At 46.7% G+C, this 17696-nt stretch overlaps 1 protein-coding gene across 3 annotated transcripts in view, besides 5 other annotated features; it reads right to left on the reverse strand.

Moving 5' to 3' along the window:
• The window catches only part of ATXN7L1 (ataxin 7 like 1), a 271828-nt gene that overhangs the window by 196786 nt on the left and 57346 nt on the right, over positions 1-17696 (reverse strand). The gene's annotated exons all lie outside the window — the stretch shown is intronic.
• Positions 4818-4987: an enhancer, noted in NCBI's record as "active region_26471". NCBI's record gives its function as "activates an Ori minimal core promoter by ATAC-STARR-seq in GM12878 lymphoblastoid cells {active_cell/tissue: GM12878}" and the evidence as "EXISTENCE:reporter gene assay evidence [ECO:0000049][PMID:35858748]".
• Positions 5148-5197: an enhancer, noted in NCBI's record as "active region_26472". NCBI's record gives its function as "activates an Ori minimal core promoter by ATAC-STARR-seq in GM12878 lymphoblastoid cells {active_cell/tissue: GM12878}" and the evidence as "EXISTENCE:reporter gene assay evidence [ECO:0000049][PMID:35858748]".
• Positions 5838-5887: an enhancer, noted in NCBI's record as "active region_26473". NCBI's record gives its function as "activates an Ori minimal core promoter by ATAC-STARR-seq in GM12878 lymphoblastoid cells {active_cell/tissue: GM12878}" and the evidence as "EXISTENCE:reporter gene assay evidence [ECO:0000049][PMID:35858748]".
• Positions 7359-7428: an enhancer, noted in NCBI's record as "active region_26474". NCBI's record gives its function as "activates an Ori minimal core promoter by ATAC-STARR-seq in GM12878 lymphoblastoid cells {active_cell/tissue: GM12878}" and the evidence as "EXISTENCE:reporter gene assay evidence [ECO:0000049][PMID:35858748]".
• Positions 7549-7658: an enhancer, noted in NCBI's record as "active region_26475". NCBI's record gives its function as "activates an Ori minimal core promoter by ATAC-STARR-seq in GM12878 lymphoblastoid cells {active_cell/tissue: GM12878}" and the evidence as "EXISTENCE:reporter gene assay evidence [ECO:0000049][PMID:35858748]".

A 17696-nucleotide genomic window follows, 5' to 3' on the forward strand; every position in this document is an offset into this window, starting at 1 on the left:
CTTGCTAGTTAAAAGATTCTGTTAGCTAAGGGGAAAGAGTGTTCTGTACATGTAGGGATACTGAGGGTACACCTGGCACATGGTTCAGTTTGCCCCTCTGAATCACCTCTACTTGTGAGCTCTTTGGATATATGCGTTGGAGGCCCATGAGCTCAGTGGTGTGCTGGAGCCGAATGGAACTGCTCATGACAGCCAATTGTGCACATCTTTTCCCAACTTCATATTTACAGACTTCACATTGGTAGTTTGAAATTGGCACAGTGGGAGTAGTTACACCTTGAAAATTGGCAAACACTACAAATCAAGGCTTTTACATTTCTTCAGAGAGCCAGTGTATTGGCACACCACTGGTTCTCATTCATAATAAAATTCTGTGCAGGAACCCAAACTCGACGGAATGTGGCCCACGGCATTAAATTTAGGTCCGGGGAAGGTTTGGGGTCACTTAAAGCCTGGTGTCTGAAAACCTTCCTAAGATGCTAATGATGTTCTAGCATTTTAATCTGCATAGCTTGGCTCAAGAGAAAACTTCCCTTGTGCTCTGTGGTCATCCTCTAAACCCCAGCCTTGGGCCAACCACCTAGCAAACTGCAGTCTTGATACCCAAGTGGAACGAGTCAAGGCATAGACGCTTCAGGGTCAATCCTTCATCACCATTAGAAAAGCAACCTGTTCTCCCGAGGGCTGCCCAGTGGCCTCCATACCTCAGTAAACCGATCTATAATATGTGGACGGCGCAGAGGTCCGACAATCAATCTCTCATCTCTGGGTTCAGAGGTAAGGTGGTCTAGCTAAGCATCAGCCCCCAGTCCCCAGCCTGCTGTTCAGACACCCCCAGCTGCCTTTTAAAAGGTCACCCATAAGGAGCCGTAAGCCCTGCAGTTGGCCCTGTTTCAGCAGATACCACTGGGGAAACACAGACCTTTCCTTTAAATTCCTCCCCTCAGCAGTCAGGTGAGTCAGGGAAAATTCAATCCAATTTCCCAGCAAATCCTACTATGCTCTGGAAGGACATGGTTTGAAAAATCTATTTTTGTGCTTTTATTTACTTAAGGTCTGCATGCCTGAGGAAGTTTTTTCATAGTGCCATCAAACTGCTTCTTGCTTACCAGGAAAAACAAAGATCCCACCTTTCTGTAACACCACCAGCCCAGCCACAGAATCCAGAGGAACTGCAGCTCCAGGCCCTTGATTCCCAGCAGCAGAAGGCTCACTCCAGCACCCTGCACAGCAGCCTGGCTCTAGCGTGGGGCTTTCCCCTCCCTGGGCTGCCCAGGGCTCACACAGTTTTGTTTTTCCTGGTTTAAATGAAGTTTCTGATTCAGAGGCATGACCTGTCTCTATGGGGTTTGTGTCTGTGATTCCAGCAGCTTCGTAGTGTAAACTGCTGGGGTCAGGGCTGGGTATCTCTGGATGGTCCCATCTTTCTAGAAGGGTCAAATGCCCACATGAGAAAACAAAACCCCTTCAATCTATTCAGGACTTGGAGTTGTCTGTATTGGTAAACTTAGACTTTGTCCCACATCTACTTTCTACCCCTGTGTCAAATCCGTCAGCCAGCCAACTTCAACTGAGACTCTTAACAGGACTCAATGCAACACACGGGCTTCACTCTCCACCTGCCCAGCAGTGGTGGGTTGTAGAGTGGCCCCTACATTGCCATGGGAGGCCAGGGAGGGCAGTGGGCCGAAGCAGAGGGCATCCATGCATCCACACCACAGGGCTCTGAAAGAAATGGCCAAGGGCCCTTCTTCTCTGCCCTAGCTCTTTCTCAGCTCCCCTGGGAGCGTGGCCTGCTGGGACCCCATGAGTCAGTGCTCCCCTGCTGGCCCCACCCTGATGTCCAGGATCCTATCTAGTGGAGGGACGGCTCCAGCCCTGGCTGCTGTGAGAAGGTGGCAGGACTTGAGCAGTATCCTCGGTGCTCTGGGCCTTTATCACTAACTTTTCAAGGCATGAGACCTCTCTGGGGCCCTAGAACACCTTCCACCTTTACTGCTGAGATAAGGCAGCGGGACAGGTTAATGGGTCCATACCTAACTGTGCATTGGAATCTTTCAGGAGCTCTTAGGGGACAGATGACTGGGTTCCAGCCAGCCTGACTGAACTGGAAATTCTGGATATGCTTCCATTGCAAGAATCTGCATTTTGGAACAAAGTTTTCCAGGTAACTTTGATGTAGCTGTTCAACCCGGCACTGGCCTAGACTTCCCTAATGGTAACTTCCCATAGGAACAGTCTATGATTTTACCTATTTCCACCCAGTTATGAACTGGAACAGGGAAGGCTCAGGGGTGAGAATCATGTGCTTGATTTGCCTCTCCAGTGATCAGAGATGGGACTATAATACTGTCCCCTCTCTGAGGCGGCTAAGTGGTCCAGGAAGGAACCCTCCACAGGTAAGGGACTGAGAGCTGTGTTCAATAGGGTTTGTGTCCCTGTCCCCTCCCTGACTCTCAGTGGGCAGGACTTCTACCAGCCTTGGCCAGAGGGAGAGAAATGGGCATCCCTTAGCCAGGATGCCTCCACCTGGCCAAGCTCCAGAGGCTAGAATGGGGTGCCCAGCTTCCTTTCTGGCCTTTGAGCAGAGTCTTCCTGGATGCCCTGTCAGGTCCCTCAGGGTGTCTTCCCAGAAAAGCCCTTCAAGACAGGTGATAGCCATGCTGAGACCAAATCAAACCAGGAAAGCAAACCCTAAACTCTGATATGAATAGAGGGGAAGGGTCTAGCTGTCTTGCTTCCAAAAAGGCCTGATTAAGAAGGGACTCCTGAGACTGGCTGTCCCCGACATGTGCATGTATGGGTGAAGAGCCAGCATAACCCACCCTGCCCCAAGGTAAGGTTCAGAACATGGGCTGTGTTCACAAGAAGGAAGCTCTTGTTGGAGATGAGTGGAAACATCTTAGGGAAAATTAGCCTCTCATTCCAACTAACAAGGAAGGGGAAGCATTTCAGGGTAGCCCTAGAAATAAATTTATATGCTCGCCTGACAGTTCTACAAACACTTATTCTATGTGTTGGGTGCTGGCCTGGGGCTAGACTATGATAGACCCTTAAGGAGAAGATTTATTGATAAAATAATATTATTGAAAAAACATCAATCACAGCAGCCGGCATTTATTGAGTATTTACTCCACGTTAGGTACTGTGCTAAGTGCTGTTCATTGATTGTTTCATTGAATCCTCACAGCAGACCTGCAGGGGTGACATTATCTCCATTTTATAGATAAGGAAATAGAAGCTCAAAGAGGTTAAGCTATTGGCTCCCAGTCTCACAGTTTGGGAATGCTGGAGCCAAAATCTGAACTCAAGGCTGCTGGATCTTAACTCTTAGGATGTTGTACCTTTTTAAAGAGGACGGCAGCTGGGAGAAAGGGAGACAGGCAGGCAGGGAAGTAACAAGAACTCTGAGGTCAGTTATGAATAAACACCCGTGGCGTAGCATTTACCAAATGTCCAAGAACCAATAAAGAACAGAAGCTCCTGTCTACAATGAGGATCAGCTAGGATGACAACATACACACTTAAAACAACGAACGAGCCGGACAGTAGAGTGAGCTGATGTAGTGAAGGGCTAACCTGAGCCAGACAGTTAGAGAATGGGATGGCATAAAGTGACATGATTAAACAGGCAGAAAGGGCAAAGTGTGCTAGAGGAGGGAGCCATGAGCTCTGGCTAAGGTGCCAAGGGCTTTCTCTATAACCGGCCTTCCTGGGGGCAGGCGAGAACTTGCCAGGGCCCTTAGTGCTGTGGGGTGGGAAGGAGAACGCCAGCTGCTCCAGGACTTGGTAAGTTGGATATGCAGGAAGTTCAGGGGGCTGGCAGCTAGTGGCACTTGTGCCAGTGGGGAACCTGGGGTGACTCAGTGTGGGAAACAGGAGGTTGTTGGTCTCACCCACTGCCCTCATCTACTCACTCATTTATCCAACACTTATTTATTGTCATTGATTATATGCCAGACACTGGGGTACAGAGAAATGAATGCGATGATTTATGCCCTCAAGGAGCTCACAGATCATGAAAAGAGACAGGGCGAGACTCACAAGCCCACAGTACACTTGGCAAGTGATAAATAGGACGTGTGCGTGGCTCATGCTGCGGCAGAGGGCAGGGAGAGCTTCACCAGGATGACCCCAGAGTCGGTTCCTGAAAGATGAGCACAAGCTTCCAGGCAGTCGCAGGGGGAGGGGCAGCCCGGGTCGTGGGAACAGCAAGAGCAAATGCAGTGTGGTGAGATGTGCTGGCCTGGTGAGGGTGCCACAGGTGGGTGAATATAGCAGGGAATGAGGATGCTGGGGGGAAGGGCAGGAGATAAGGCCAGAGAGGTGCGAGGCAGAGTTTTACCATGTGCTCATGAGTATGAGAGAGAGAATGCAGAGAGCAGTGATCGGGTGTTTGTTTTGGAAGCAATGCTGAGCTTGCTGGAACAAGGCTGGAGGTGAGAGGGCTGCTGCAGGGTCTGGGGCTGCAGGGACAGAGAGGACGCAGGACCCAAGAGACATTTATTTGGAACTGACCACTGTGGGAAATGACTTAGAGCTTTCTGGCTTGGCCTACCAGGAAGAGGGGAAGACAGATGGGAATGCAGGTTACATGGTGCTAGAGACTGAACTGCGTCCCCCTGGATTCATGTACTGAGACCCTAGCACCCAGTGAGGTGGTATAAGGAGATGGGACCTTTGGGGAATGATGAGGTTTACATGGGGACCTAAAAGTGGAGCTCCATGATGGGATTAGTGCCCTTGTAAGGAAAGGAAGAGACACCAGGGCCCTCTCTGCCCAGTGAGCACCCGTCCACTCACCATGCGGGCACCCTGATCGTGGGTGTCAGCCTCCAAAATTGTGAGAAATAAACCTCAGTTGTTTAAGCCACCCAGGCTATGGTACTTTCTTATAGCAGCCCGAGCAGACTGAGGACATATGGGGAGGAGAGCTTTGTTTTGCAGCCTACTAAGTGTGAGAAACTGATCTGCAGTCCAAGAGGCAAGCTGGGGCCAGAGAGACAGAGTGGGGACATCATGAGCAAGCGGGGGCCAAGCTGGGGTTGTGCACAGTCTCCCTGTGAAACAGTGTTGTCTGACAACAGGGTTAAGGCTAGAATTTGGGGAACACCAATAAATAACAAGAAGATGAGAGGAGGGAAGGGGCCAGTGAAGGAAGCTGAGAGGAACGCTCGCAGAGGGAGGAGGTGAGTCATGAGGAAGTGCCCAGGAGGACCCAGCAACAGAGTCAGAGGCACAGAGAAGCCACGTGGGAAGCACTGCAGTGTTCAACACCTCTGACAAGGAGTGAAAGCTCTGGGGAAAAAATAGGGTGTGGAAGTCAACTGGCAGTTGCTGTGGGGGGATGTACAACCAAGAAAGGGTGACTTACTTGTTTCAATTTTAAACAACAAATATGTGAACAGGGCTTTAGTCTGCAAGAAGCCAGCAGAGCCTTCTTTTCCCTTTTGCCATCTTCACCTGGCCTCCTGGGCCAGGGCACGCTGCCATCCAGGTGTCCAGCCAAGCTTCCTGTGCATGGATGACCACCTGTTGCCCCAGGATTTGGCACTGTCCAACTTCCCAGCATAGCTGCCTTTCTGCTGCCCCACCACAATGCCAGCTACATTGGGTGCTGACCACATGCCACACACCCTGCTCCACAAACATCAGTTAGTGTCCTGAAGAACCTCATGAGGGAAACTTGACCAGACCCAGCTTAGAGGTGAAGAACCCAGGCTTTAGAAAAGTCAAGTCACCTGCCTGATGTCATACTGCTGGTAAATGCTGTGCAGAATTTGAACACTGTGTGTCAAACTCCACTGCACTTCCCTGCCTCAAAAGAGCCTTTCATTTCTTCCTTGAAAGAGCTGCCCCACACTGACACAAACCCATGCAGGGCGAGAACAGGACACACCTTCTGACGCGGCACTCCTGGGTAGGCTGTTGCAGGAATGGCCCCCCAGTTGTTTATACCTTCCAATCTTCACACCCTTGGGTTCCCCCTTTTCACATTGATTCTGGGCTCAGTCACATGACTTACTTTGGCCAACAGACCATTAGCAACTGTGACAGACACTTATAAAATACTTATGCACTGGGTTTGTGTGCCCTCTCTTGTTCTCCTTGGAACCCTCATGTGGAAAGCCCGGGCTGGGCTGCAGTAGCATGGACGGACCCACATGGAGCACAGGTGAGCTGTTCCTGCCCAGACCTCTCCAGACCGAGCAGCCTCCCAACCACCAGACAGGTGAGGGAGGGCCTCTTTGACCATCCAGCCTGGGCTGCGCTATCCGCACCAGAAGAAACACCCAGAAGACCCACAGAATCATAGTAAGTAATGTTTACTGTCTTAAGCCATCAAGTTTTGGGGTGGTTTGTTGCACAGCAAAAGCTAGCTAACTGATACAAGTCCTTAAAGAGGCCTGAGCTAGCATCTCCTTCCAGCTCTGAAGCACTGGAGGATAATTCTTGGATCTCTAGTGTCCACAGACTCTTTCTGCAATGTCAGAACCACCCAAGAATACAGCACTGTCCTTGGCCTGGAGGGTCACTCTGCTCCTAGAAAGCAGGAAAAGGAAGAGGCCTTTATATACCTTCTCCCCAGGACACACAGGGCCTGCAGGCAGCCCTGGTGGGTGCCAGGTTACTTAGGGACAAGGTGACAGTGGCATGCTTTTGCCATTTGTCCCCAGCCAAGTGTTTTTCCACTGATGTGAAAGGAAAAAGATAATTTCTCTAGTGAGCCCTACTGCAAAGACTCTGAGGCAGCATTTCATCAAAGGGTGCTGGGAAGCACTGGGGAGACAGCAAAACCCAAAAACCTCCAGCTCCACTCAGCAAGGAGCTTGCTGCTTCTGTTTCCAGAGAGGCGGAAAAATGAATGAGCACTCAGGAAAGCCAACCTGATCAGTGGCACTTTGATAAGATGACAAAATTGCTCCCTCCTCCAGTCCAAATCCACTCTCTGTGGTGAACTATTATGGGAAGGAAGCATCAACTAATTAGAAGCATCTCTGGGACATGAGAAAAATCAGCACCTAAAATGCCTAAGCAGAGAGAATTCCTTGTTAAGAAGAGAGAAAACAAAACAAAAAACTGCTAGGATGTCACTTTGCCCAAGCATATTTATAAAGGGAGGAGGAGATAAGAATTAATTGGGACAGGAGCTTCTACCTAAGTGACATAAAAGACACAATTATTTTTGCTGCTTTTACAGATCAAGTGCCCCTTCCAGGTGGGGATAGAGCCCTGGCACCACCCACCATTTTGAAAAATGACTTTTAGTCTTCCGTAGTTCTAACTAAGCTTGAAATTAAGATGGTTCTTTTGTTTACTCCCCCTGTTGGGGAAGCTCTAACCACCTATCAAAAACACCAATGTCTGGATTATTTATTTCTCATTGTCCAACCTACGGGGCATAGAAGAGTTTTATGAAGCCAACATGTGAGGCGTTTCTCCCAAAGAAGCGTGGATGCACCTCCCCATATTGCAGAGCCCTTTTATACTATGGTCCTTTGATAATCTGGATTTTGACAGACAGAACTAATGCCTGACTTGGAGCAGGACAAAGAGCCCTGGAAGTCAGAGGCTTCATTCTTGTCACCCTCTTTCCTTTATAAGCTGCGAGCACTTGGGTAAGTCCCTTAACCTTGAGAAAATTCAATAAAACAAAGGGTTAGTGACTAATATATTACATCCTTTTTAAAAAACAAGTTGTGGTTTAAAAAGCCCCATATAACATGAGATCTACTGTCTTAACACATCTGTGAGTGTATAGTACAGTATTGTTAACCATAAGCACACTGTTGTAAAGCAGATCTCTAGAACTGACTCAGCTTGCACTACTGAAACTCCACGCCCACTGAGCAGCAACCTCACTTCCTCCTTCCTCCGGCCCCTGGCACTCAACCATTCTATGTTCTGCTTCTACGAGTCAACTGCCTTAGATACCTCATATCAGTGGAATCAGGCAGTATTGGTCCTTTATGACTGGCTTATTTCATTTAGCATAGTGTCCTCAAGGTTCAAATATATATCCTTACAATGATACTGACATGGTACTCACTGTTTCCATGGTAAGTGGTTACATATATTAACGTATTTAGCCCTCACAGAAACCCTTCAAGGTAAGGTGGCATGATTATCTCCTTTTGATAGATGAGGAAACTGAGGCAAAGGGAGGTGAAGTGAGGTGCCTATGCTTACCTGCTGTGTAAGTGGCTCCAGACTCCTTTTTTTTTTTTTCCAAGACAGGGTCTCACTCTGTTGCCCAGGCTAGAGCATAGTTATGCTATCATAGCTCACTGTAGCTTTGACCTCCTGGGCTCAAGTGATCCTCCCAACTCAGCCTCCCAAGTAGCTGGGACGAAAGGCACATGCCACCACATCCACCTAATTTTTTAAATTTTTTGTAGAGACGAGGTCTCACTATGTTGCCCAGGCTGGCCTCGAATTCCAGGACTCAAATGATCCTCCAGCCTTGGCCTCCCAAAGTGTTGAGACTACAGGTGTGAGCCACCACACCCAGCCCAGACTCCATTCTCTTGAACATAACACCATGTTCTTTCTGTACAGTTTAAAATTTCTATTTTAGCAAGTAGGCTCACAGAGATACTGAAGTCACTGAGGAAGATGGCAAAAGATGGGGCAGGGAGGATAAACGAGATGTGGTGTTGGAGAGATCTACCCTTGTATAGTTCAGAGTGGTCTTTCACAGCAGGAAGAGGATGGCCTTGGAGCCAGGGAGACCTGGGCCCAGTCCTGGCTCTCCCTTGCTCTAGGCCCTTGGGAAACACCAGTCACCAAAACTGGCAAGACCCTTGCCTTGTAGACATCACATGCTAGCAGGTGAGACAAACAACAAACAATAAGTATTCCCAATAATGTCTGCTATAGAAAGGGTAAAGTGTTATAAAAAAACAAACAAACAAAACACTGGTGCTGGGAAGGCTGGCTGGAATTGTAAAAAGGGTGCCACTGAGAAGGTGATATCTGAGCAGACTAGAAGAAGGTGAGAAGGTAGATTGTGAGGCTGGAGCACATCTAGGGGATGGTGTTCCGCACAGAGGGAAGAGCTAGTGCAAAGGTCCAGAGAAGGGGAGAGCCTAGGACGTATGAGGGAGAGCAAAGAAGCCAGCCTGTGTGCAGGAGCCAACGCGAGCCAGCGTAGAGGCACTGAAGCCGGGGATGGCATGGGGGCGGCGGAAAGGCTGTGCCAGTGACTCTGAGTGGTGTGGGAAGCTATGCAGGCTTTTGAGCAGAGGAGTGACATGAACTGATACTTGGCTTTTATAGTAATTTAGGTGATGGTGGCTCAGATCAGGGCAGCAGAAGTGGAGGTGGGAGAAGCAGTTGGTTTTGAACCTAACCTGTTTCCTAGTGGACTAGATGTGGATGGGAGAAAAAGATGGGAGTCAAGGATGACACCAAGAGTTCTGTCCAAAGCAACTGGAAGAATGAAGTGGCTATCAGCTAACCTAGAAAGGCCACAGATGAAGAAAGTTACGGGGTCCCTGAAAAGATATGGTGAAGTCCTATCCCCAATACTTGTGAATGTGGTCTTATTTGGAAACAGCGTCTCTGCAGAAGTGATCAAGTTAAGATGAGGTCATTAGGGTGGGCCTTAATCCAATATGACTGGCGTCCTTATACGACGAGGAGAAGAGACACAGACAGGCCTGGAGATGATGTGAAGGTGGACAGGGAGAACACCATGTGATAAAGGAGGCAGAGCCGGGAGTGACACAGCTATAAGACATGGAAAGCCAAGGATGGCTAGCCACACCGGAAGCATGCAACAGATTCTGCCCTGGAAGCTTCAGAGAGAGCGCAGCCCTGCCAGCACCTTGACTTTGGACTTTGGTCTCCAGAACAGAGAGAGAATGAATTTCTGTTATTTTAAGCCATCTAGTTTGTGGTACTTTGTTGCGGCAGCCCTAGCAAACTATTACAGGGGGTAAGCTAACAATTCAGTTTTCCACATGTTAAATGCTGGAGATGTCAAGCAGGTGGTGGGATGTCTGAGTCCCAAGTTCAGGAGAAAAGCCCAGGCTGCTGACAGGAGTCTGGGACATGTCTGCAAATAGAATGCATTTATAGCCATGGGGCTGGATGAGGGCAGCAAGGAATAAAAGTATACATGGGAAGGGAAGAGGGCCAAGGATTGAGCCTGGGGCACTCCAAAGCTGAGACTGGGAGAAGCAGAAACTGGCAAAGGACTCTGAGTTGGAGCAGCCCAGGAGGTAGAAGAAAAACCAAGAGTGCCAAGTCCTGGGGCCTGCATTTCTTCCCTGGCCCCATGGCTCCTGGTGGGCCAAGGCCTCCCTGCTGACCTACCTGCAGCCACCTCTCCTCTTCCCCTCACAGGCTAAGTCCCAGAGAGCCCACTGAACAGACCACTCTCAACTGCCCCCATACCTTGTCTTCAGACAAATTGTCTCCTCTGCCAGCTTCCCCTTTCCCTTCTGTTTTCTGGGTCTCAGCCTAAGAGCTCCCCTGCCTTGTGAATGCTTTGGACCACCCCAGGCACAGGGAGGCACCCTGCTCCCTTCTCAAGCCCCCCTGGATGCTAACCTTGCCTCAACCTTAGTGCTCATCTCCTATCCCGGGGTTGATGGGGATGTCTGTCTCTGTACACAACCAGCTCCCTGGCACAGAGCAGGCCTGCAATAAGCATTTGTTGAAACTGATGAATCCAAACATGGATGGCTGAAATGGGACTCTTCTGGCAGCTACCGTATTAACACTAAGTTTGGAGTCAACGAAAACATATGAACTTTAAAAGCAAGGTTTCTTAAGTTATATCTTTCCTACCTGTTCAGTTGATTTCCAAGTCTCAAGAATAGTAGTTTACATATATTCCTGTTAAACTTTTAGTTCTTGAGAGATCTAACTCAGACTAGCAAGATATTTGGGTCTTGATTCTATCAGTTTCTAAACTAGTTTTCAGGCTTAGCTTTCTGTTCTCCACAAACTTTACTGAGCATATCATCAATGTCTTTACTCGAGTCCTTAATACGAAACAAAGCAGGACAGGGGCAGGAAAGAAGCCTGTAACATTTCCCTGCAGTTGTCCCTCTGGCTCAGTTACGGCCCACTCACTGTACAGATATTTACTAAGCACCCACTGTGGCATTGTTCTAGGTGTCAGGAATTCATCAGTGATAAACAAAGATCTAGCTGGGCATGGTGGCTCACGCCTGTAATCCCAGCACTCTGGGAGGCTGAGACGGGTGGGTCACTTGAGCCCAGAAGTTCAAGACCAGCCTGGACAACATGATGAAACCCTGTCTCTAGAAAAAACACAAAAATTTATCTGGGCATGGTGGCACACACCTGTGGTCCTAGCTACTTGGGAGGCTGAGGTGGGAGGAATATCTAAGCCTGGGAGGTCAAGGCTGCAGTTGGCTGTGATTGCGCCCCTGTACTCCAGCCTGGGTGACAGAGTGAGACCCTGTCTCAAAAACAAGACAAAACCAAACCAAACCAAACCAAACAACCCCACCACCAAAACAAAGATCCTTGCTCTGACTTCTCCACAGATACCGCCTTTCAACTGTTATGAATTTACCTACTTGTATGACTTCATGTGGATTCCATCTTTTCCACATACATTTCATGACAGACTTTTGCCAAATGCTTTGTTAAAACCAGAGACACTGTATCTATAATATTTCCTGGCCTCCCAGCCCAGGAGAAAAGGAGATGGGATTTCTCTGGTGTACACAGTTCTTAGTAAACCCAGGTTGGCTCCTGGTGTTCACTACCTTCTTTTCTAGTATTCACAATCTACAATTTTTTTTTTTTTTTTTTTGAGACGGAGTTTTGCTCTTGTTGCCCAGGCTGGAGTGCAATGGCACAATCTCAGTTCAATGCAACCTCTGCCTCCCAGGTTCAAGCGATTCTCCTGCCTCAGCCTCCCTAGTAGCTGGGATTATAGGCATGTGCCACCACGCCCAGCTAATTTTGTATTTTTAGTAGAGACGGGGTTTCTCCATGTTGGTCAGGCTAGTCTCGAACTCCCGACCTCAGGTGATCCACCCGCCTCGGCCTCTCAAAGTGCTGGGATTACAGGCATGAGCCACTGTGCTCGGCCCACAATCTATAATTTTAATAATGCACACTAGACTCTTCCTTTATCTGTAAATTCTGAAATTAAGTTTTTTTTCCTTTTCTGGAAACCAGAAAATCATTTGGCCACTTTCTGTTTTCTGGGAACTCTCCTTTTCTCTCTGACTCTGCTAAGCTTACCAAAAGCAATTCTATCTCTCTCTCTCTTTTTTTCCCCCAGTATCCTAGGATGTCATTATCTGAACCTGAATTCTGAACTTGAGATAGCTGGGTGTTTTCTGATAATTTCTCCATGTATCCTGGATTCCAATTTCCTCCCACCAGTATGAGTCCCACCCTTCCAAGTCTCAAATCTTTCTTTTTAATGCCCCTCTAGCCTCAATCCTTTCTTCCTCTCTTCCTCCATTTCACCTTACACAAAAGCTGTCCTTCCAGAGGAGACGTCGTCCTCAGGAAATCAGTCTAATAAAACCAGCTTCGCAGCAGTCCCCATTCTCTGTAGGGTCCCACATCTATCAGGTGCTCAGACCCTGCCCTTCAGGATGTATCCTCTCTACCTGGGGACCATCCAGTGTTTTCTCTTACTCGGCCTCCAATTGTGATCGCAATGCCAGCAGCTGTGCTGATGGCCCCCTGAAATTGACTTGGCAATTCACTATCCTCACTCCAGTGAGCTTCTAAAAACTCAATAAACTTGATCTTTGCCCCGCCTCCTGCCACTTGAAGCTTTGGTGGCAATGATGATGGTGATGATGATGATGAAGATGTTGAAGAAGGGGATGGGGAGAAGGGAGAGAAACTATCAATTCAGTGTTTTCCAGCAGGGTTTTTTTTTTCCAGGTTGTATGTCTGAGGAATATGAAAGCTAGGATGCCCATATACATTAGCATAAATATTGGATTATATTTACATATTTTAGGTTATTCATAGGTACTTTATGATTACTTGACTTTCAGGCAGTTGCTTTTTGTTTTTAGTTTTTTTCTTCTACTTCTTAATTCCTTCCTCATTACACAGGCTTGTTGACTCCAATGCTTAGAAATCCTTTAAAATACAAGTGAGGAAGAATCATGTATGAGAAAGGAAGGAAGAAGAGTCAGAAAGGGGATTGACAGAGTTGCAAAATACTTGCAGAATTTAAAAGATAACATTTTAAGTTGTCTCTCACTCCTCATGGCTAAACATTCAGAAAAGATACAGAAAATCTCATGTACAAATAAATTCTTTAAATAAGAAGAGAATGTTCTGAATGGCTTCCTCCTGGGGCTTTGTATTTATTACTTGGTTTCACAGAAATTGCCAGTCTAGAACAATCAGTTCGTAGGACTGTTACAAAAGATCATTTACTAGAAACATATAAGAAATGGAACTGCTGCTAAGACAGGATGGGGGGCAGTGGATGGGACTAGTCCTTTCTGGAAAGGGGGGCCCACAATGCTCTCCTATTCCTCTATCCCCATGTCAGTTTTGCCTCTTCAGGGAAAAGATGTGAAATCACTCTTACACGTATATAAAGGTGTTCATTTCCTCTCTCTCAGACGTTCTGAAAACTGCTTACTTGTGCCTGAAGAACCAGGTATTATGGAGCGAAGAGGGGGAGAAGTACCAGGTGCAAGACCATCTGAGAGTCAGAAATCATTGAAATCTCACATTTGCATTTTGTGCTTGGCTCTAGGAAAAGGTATGTACACTGCAGGCTGACTTTCTACCTTATTATTAAGAGTTGTGTGATTTTGAAACCCCTAACTGTTCTACATTGAGATCACTTAGCTTTTTTAAAAAATGATAAAGAGGATATCTCATAAACTTCCAGAGAGAAAAACAGGTTGCATCAAGGACTCAGAATGGCACTGGGCTTTTCATTAGTAACACTGGAAGCTGGAAGGCAGTGAAGTGTTAGCTTCAAAAGTTGGAGGGGAAATTATCTTCAGCTGAAAACTCTATACCCAACTAACCATTATTCAGACTGAGGGAAGGACAAAGGCACTTTCAGACCCACATGGCGTCAAAAACTTTGCCTCCCAGGCACTCTTTCTCAGGAAGCTGTCAGAGGATGTACTCTCCCCTAAAATGGACAAACTAAAAAGTAGGAAGAAATAGGTCCAAGAAAAACAGGGATCTAAGCCTCAGAGGCACAGCAAAAGGAAATCCCTGCATGATGCTCGGCAGCTTGCCTAGGGAATCACAAGTCTAGGCTGGAGCAGGAGGTGGAAGATTCGGGAGCTGGGGACCGAGAGTTCACAGGATGCTTGTGAGCGTTTGGCAGATGCCACTGGTAGGCATTTAGGAGAATGTGCAATGGGCATCTCATAGACAAAGCGGTCTTTTAAAGGCAATTATTAAAAGAAAAACAAAAAGTTATGTAAGAAAGGAAACCTAATCCCAGTACACTGGTTGGCTCCCTAGTGAATAATATTTAAATCACCATCATACTGTAAACACTGACCATGAATTTTGCCTACCTGTATAGCTGTACTGGGAGGATGGGGAGGAGAAGTGAGGGTGGGTGGTACAAGAGGGCCAAATTCTTCTAACGGGAAGTCAGTAGGCAGTGTTTAAAACCAATAAATCAGGAACGCAGTCTAAGCATCTAATTTAGAGGGGTTAATACCAGAAAAAATAACAAAAAGATTTTAAAGAGGTTGTTCTGGGGAGAGGGTCTGGGGGCTGGGGAGAGTCTGAGAAGGGCACTAGCTGAATTTTAAACTGGTTTTAGAAAACTCTGAGAGAAAACAATTTAATGAGGAATGCACTGCCTTGAAACTGAAATTTTTATAGACACTAGCTTTTAATAGGCGAAATGGGGTGACAGAGCAACTTAAAATGAGAGGTTAGGGTGGAGGAGGAGAAAGAGGAAGTATTACAAAATTCTTAGTGTGAAATGGTTCAGATTCAGAACCTATAAATGTGATTTTCGTGCTGCTGAAAACTTCCAAGCACAGCACTCTTGCAATGCTCCTTTCCCCACAGCCCTCAGGGAAGGGGCCCAGCAGCCAAGAAGTTTCCCAACATCGCTGCCACCTTCACCATACCTGTTCCTGGCCCAAGTGGAGGCCCCAGTGGGAAATGTGTGTGCTGTCTCACCTCCAGCTGGGAGCTGGAATGCTCTGGAAGGTTCGTTCCTATGCAGGACAAGCCAAGAACTCTAAGGAGTTCTAAGCTAAGTTCTCTAAGCCAAGAACCCTGCAGAGTGCAGGGAGCACGGTGAGATGCAGCTGATGACAGCTGTCACAAACACTGACCACTGAATTTAGAAAACAGGGGGAAACAGGCATGGGTCACTTATCAGTAATTTACCCCAGCAGGTGGGGTTCATGGTGAAAGTCAGTCAAGGAAAGGAAGCTCAGCAAAGAGGATACAAAGGATATTTTATTTAGCGGAGAGCTTCTCCTCCTCTCAAGGGCCGTAGACATAAAAAAGCAACATTTTCCCATCGGACCAGGAAAGTGTTAAATTATACTGGTGTTTACTCTCTCATTTCCAAGGCCTGGGAGCAGGATGGGATATTTATTTTTATTATCTCTCTGATGTGTTTAGAGTCCCTAATGAGGGCAGAAAGTAAACAAACATTTGATTGAAAACAGAGATGTCAATATGCACCCTCTACCTATTGTTGATACAGGAGAAAGCAATTTCAATAAGATTGAAACAATTAGACTTGAAGATTGCTGTATGCAAACCACATGAAAATGGAAGCCTACTGCTCAGTGTGTAGAAAAAAATAAACCACTGTCTGTTGGTGGTTTTTTCTTCTGATTATATTAAAGTAAATGCTTGCATGTTATATTTACTGAAGTTGAAAACTGTACTGAGGTTATGTAAGAGAATATTCCTATTCTTAGGACACATACACTGAAGTAATTGGTAAAATACCACGAAGAATGTAACTTGCCCTCAAATGGTTTAGAAAAATATTACGTGTGACTATTGAAAATATATCTGGATCGGTCTGTCTCTCTCCCATTCCCTACCCCCAAGAAACAGAAGGACAAAGCAAATGGAGCAAAATGTTAACAACAGTTGGGCCAGGGGCAATGGCTCACACCTATAATCCCAGCACTTTGGGAGGCTGAGGCTGGAGCAACATTTGAGGCTGGGAATTCGAGATCAGCCTGTGCAACACAGCGAGACCGCTATCTCTAAAAAATAAGAAATAAAATAAAAAATTAGCTGATGCAGTGGTACACACTTGCAGTTTCAGCTACTCCGGAGGCTGAGGTGGAAGAATTGCTTGAGCCAGGAGTTCCAGGTTACGGTGAGTTATCACTGCACCCCTGCATTCTAGCCTGGGCAACAGAGCAAGACCCTGTTTCAATAAATAAATGTTGAATTTGGGTAAAGGCTATAGAATGTTCTTTGTGCTATTCTTATTTTTGATGTTTTTGGAAATTAGAAATTATTTCCAAATAAGGAGTTAAAAATAATATAAAATCAAATGAAGCTGTAAGAAAATCACTGAGGTTTCACAAGCATTCCAAAAGCATTCTGGTGAGTGCTGGATACCAGACTCTCAATGTAACAAGCTGCCTGGGCTAAAATCCTTGTCTTTTCAAATTAAAAAAAAATTTTTTTTTGAGATGGGGGGTCTCATTCTGTTGCCCAGGCTGGAGTGCAGTGGAGAGATCTCAGATCACTGCAACCTCTGCCTCCCAGGCTTAAGCAATCCTCCTGCCTCAGCCTCCTGAGTGGCTGGGGCTACAGGCACGTGCCACCACGCCCCAGCTAATTTTTGTATTTTTTGTAGGGATGGGGTTTTGCCATGCTGGCCAGGGATCCTCATGGGATCCTCCCACCTCGGCCTCCCAAAGTGCTGGGATTACAGCATGTGAGCCCCCATGTCCAGCTCCTTGTCTTTTGAAATAGATTTAGAACCAGTAAAACAGGCTTAGAATGTTCAAAGTGAAAGAAAACGACTCTTTCAGGGTTTAACTCTGTAATGGCCCAAATTCAAGGCTGAATGATCAGCTGCCCTAACACAGCTTTGTTTAAAAGAAAGGAACCATCTAGCTGACTTACCAAATTAAGATAATTCAGAAAAGGAAGTCCCCAAAAGTTTGGGCACTACTGGGTAAGTCTGCAGCCTCCAAAGATGCAGCACACATTGAAGCTGGCATGTATTAGGATAAAGCTGCATAAAAATGCATAATGTACCCAGGGGAAATCCTTTACCGAAAAACTGGGGTACCAGAACCACTCAGGACCCCAAAACACTGCAGCTAGAAAAGATTATGACTCTATCCCTTGTTGTTAAACACATGGGGACAGCTAATCTACCCACTGCATTTTTTTTTTTTTTTAAGTTCTAGGGTACATGTGCACAATGTACAGGTTTGATATAGGTATACATGTGCCATGTTGGTTTGATGCACCCGTCAACTCATCATTTACATTAGGTATTTCTCCTAATGCTATCCCTCCCCCAGCCCCCCACCCCCGGAGAGACCCCGGTGTGTGACGTTCCCCACCCTGTGTCCAAGTGATCTCATTGTTCAATTCCCAACTATGAGTGAGAACCTGCGGTGTTTGGTTTTCTGTCCTTGTGATAGTTTGCTGAGAATGATGGTTTCCTACCCACTGGATTTAAATTTGGTTTTTAAATTTCAGGATCAAAGTTAATCTTGCACAGAGGGGATAAGTCACTG

Source organism: Homo sapiens, chromosome 7 (genome assembly GCF_000001405.40).
Source record: "Homo sapiens chromosome 7, GRCh38.p14 Primary Assembly".
Lineage (NCBI taxonomy): Eukaryota > Metazoa > Chordata > Mammalia > Primates > Hominidae > Homo > Homo sapiens.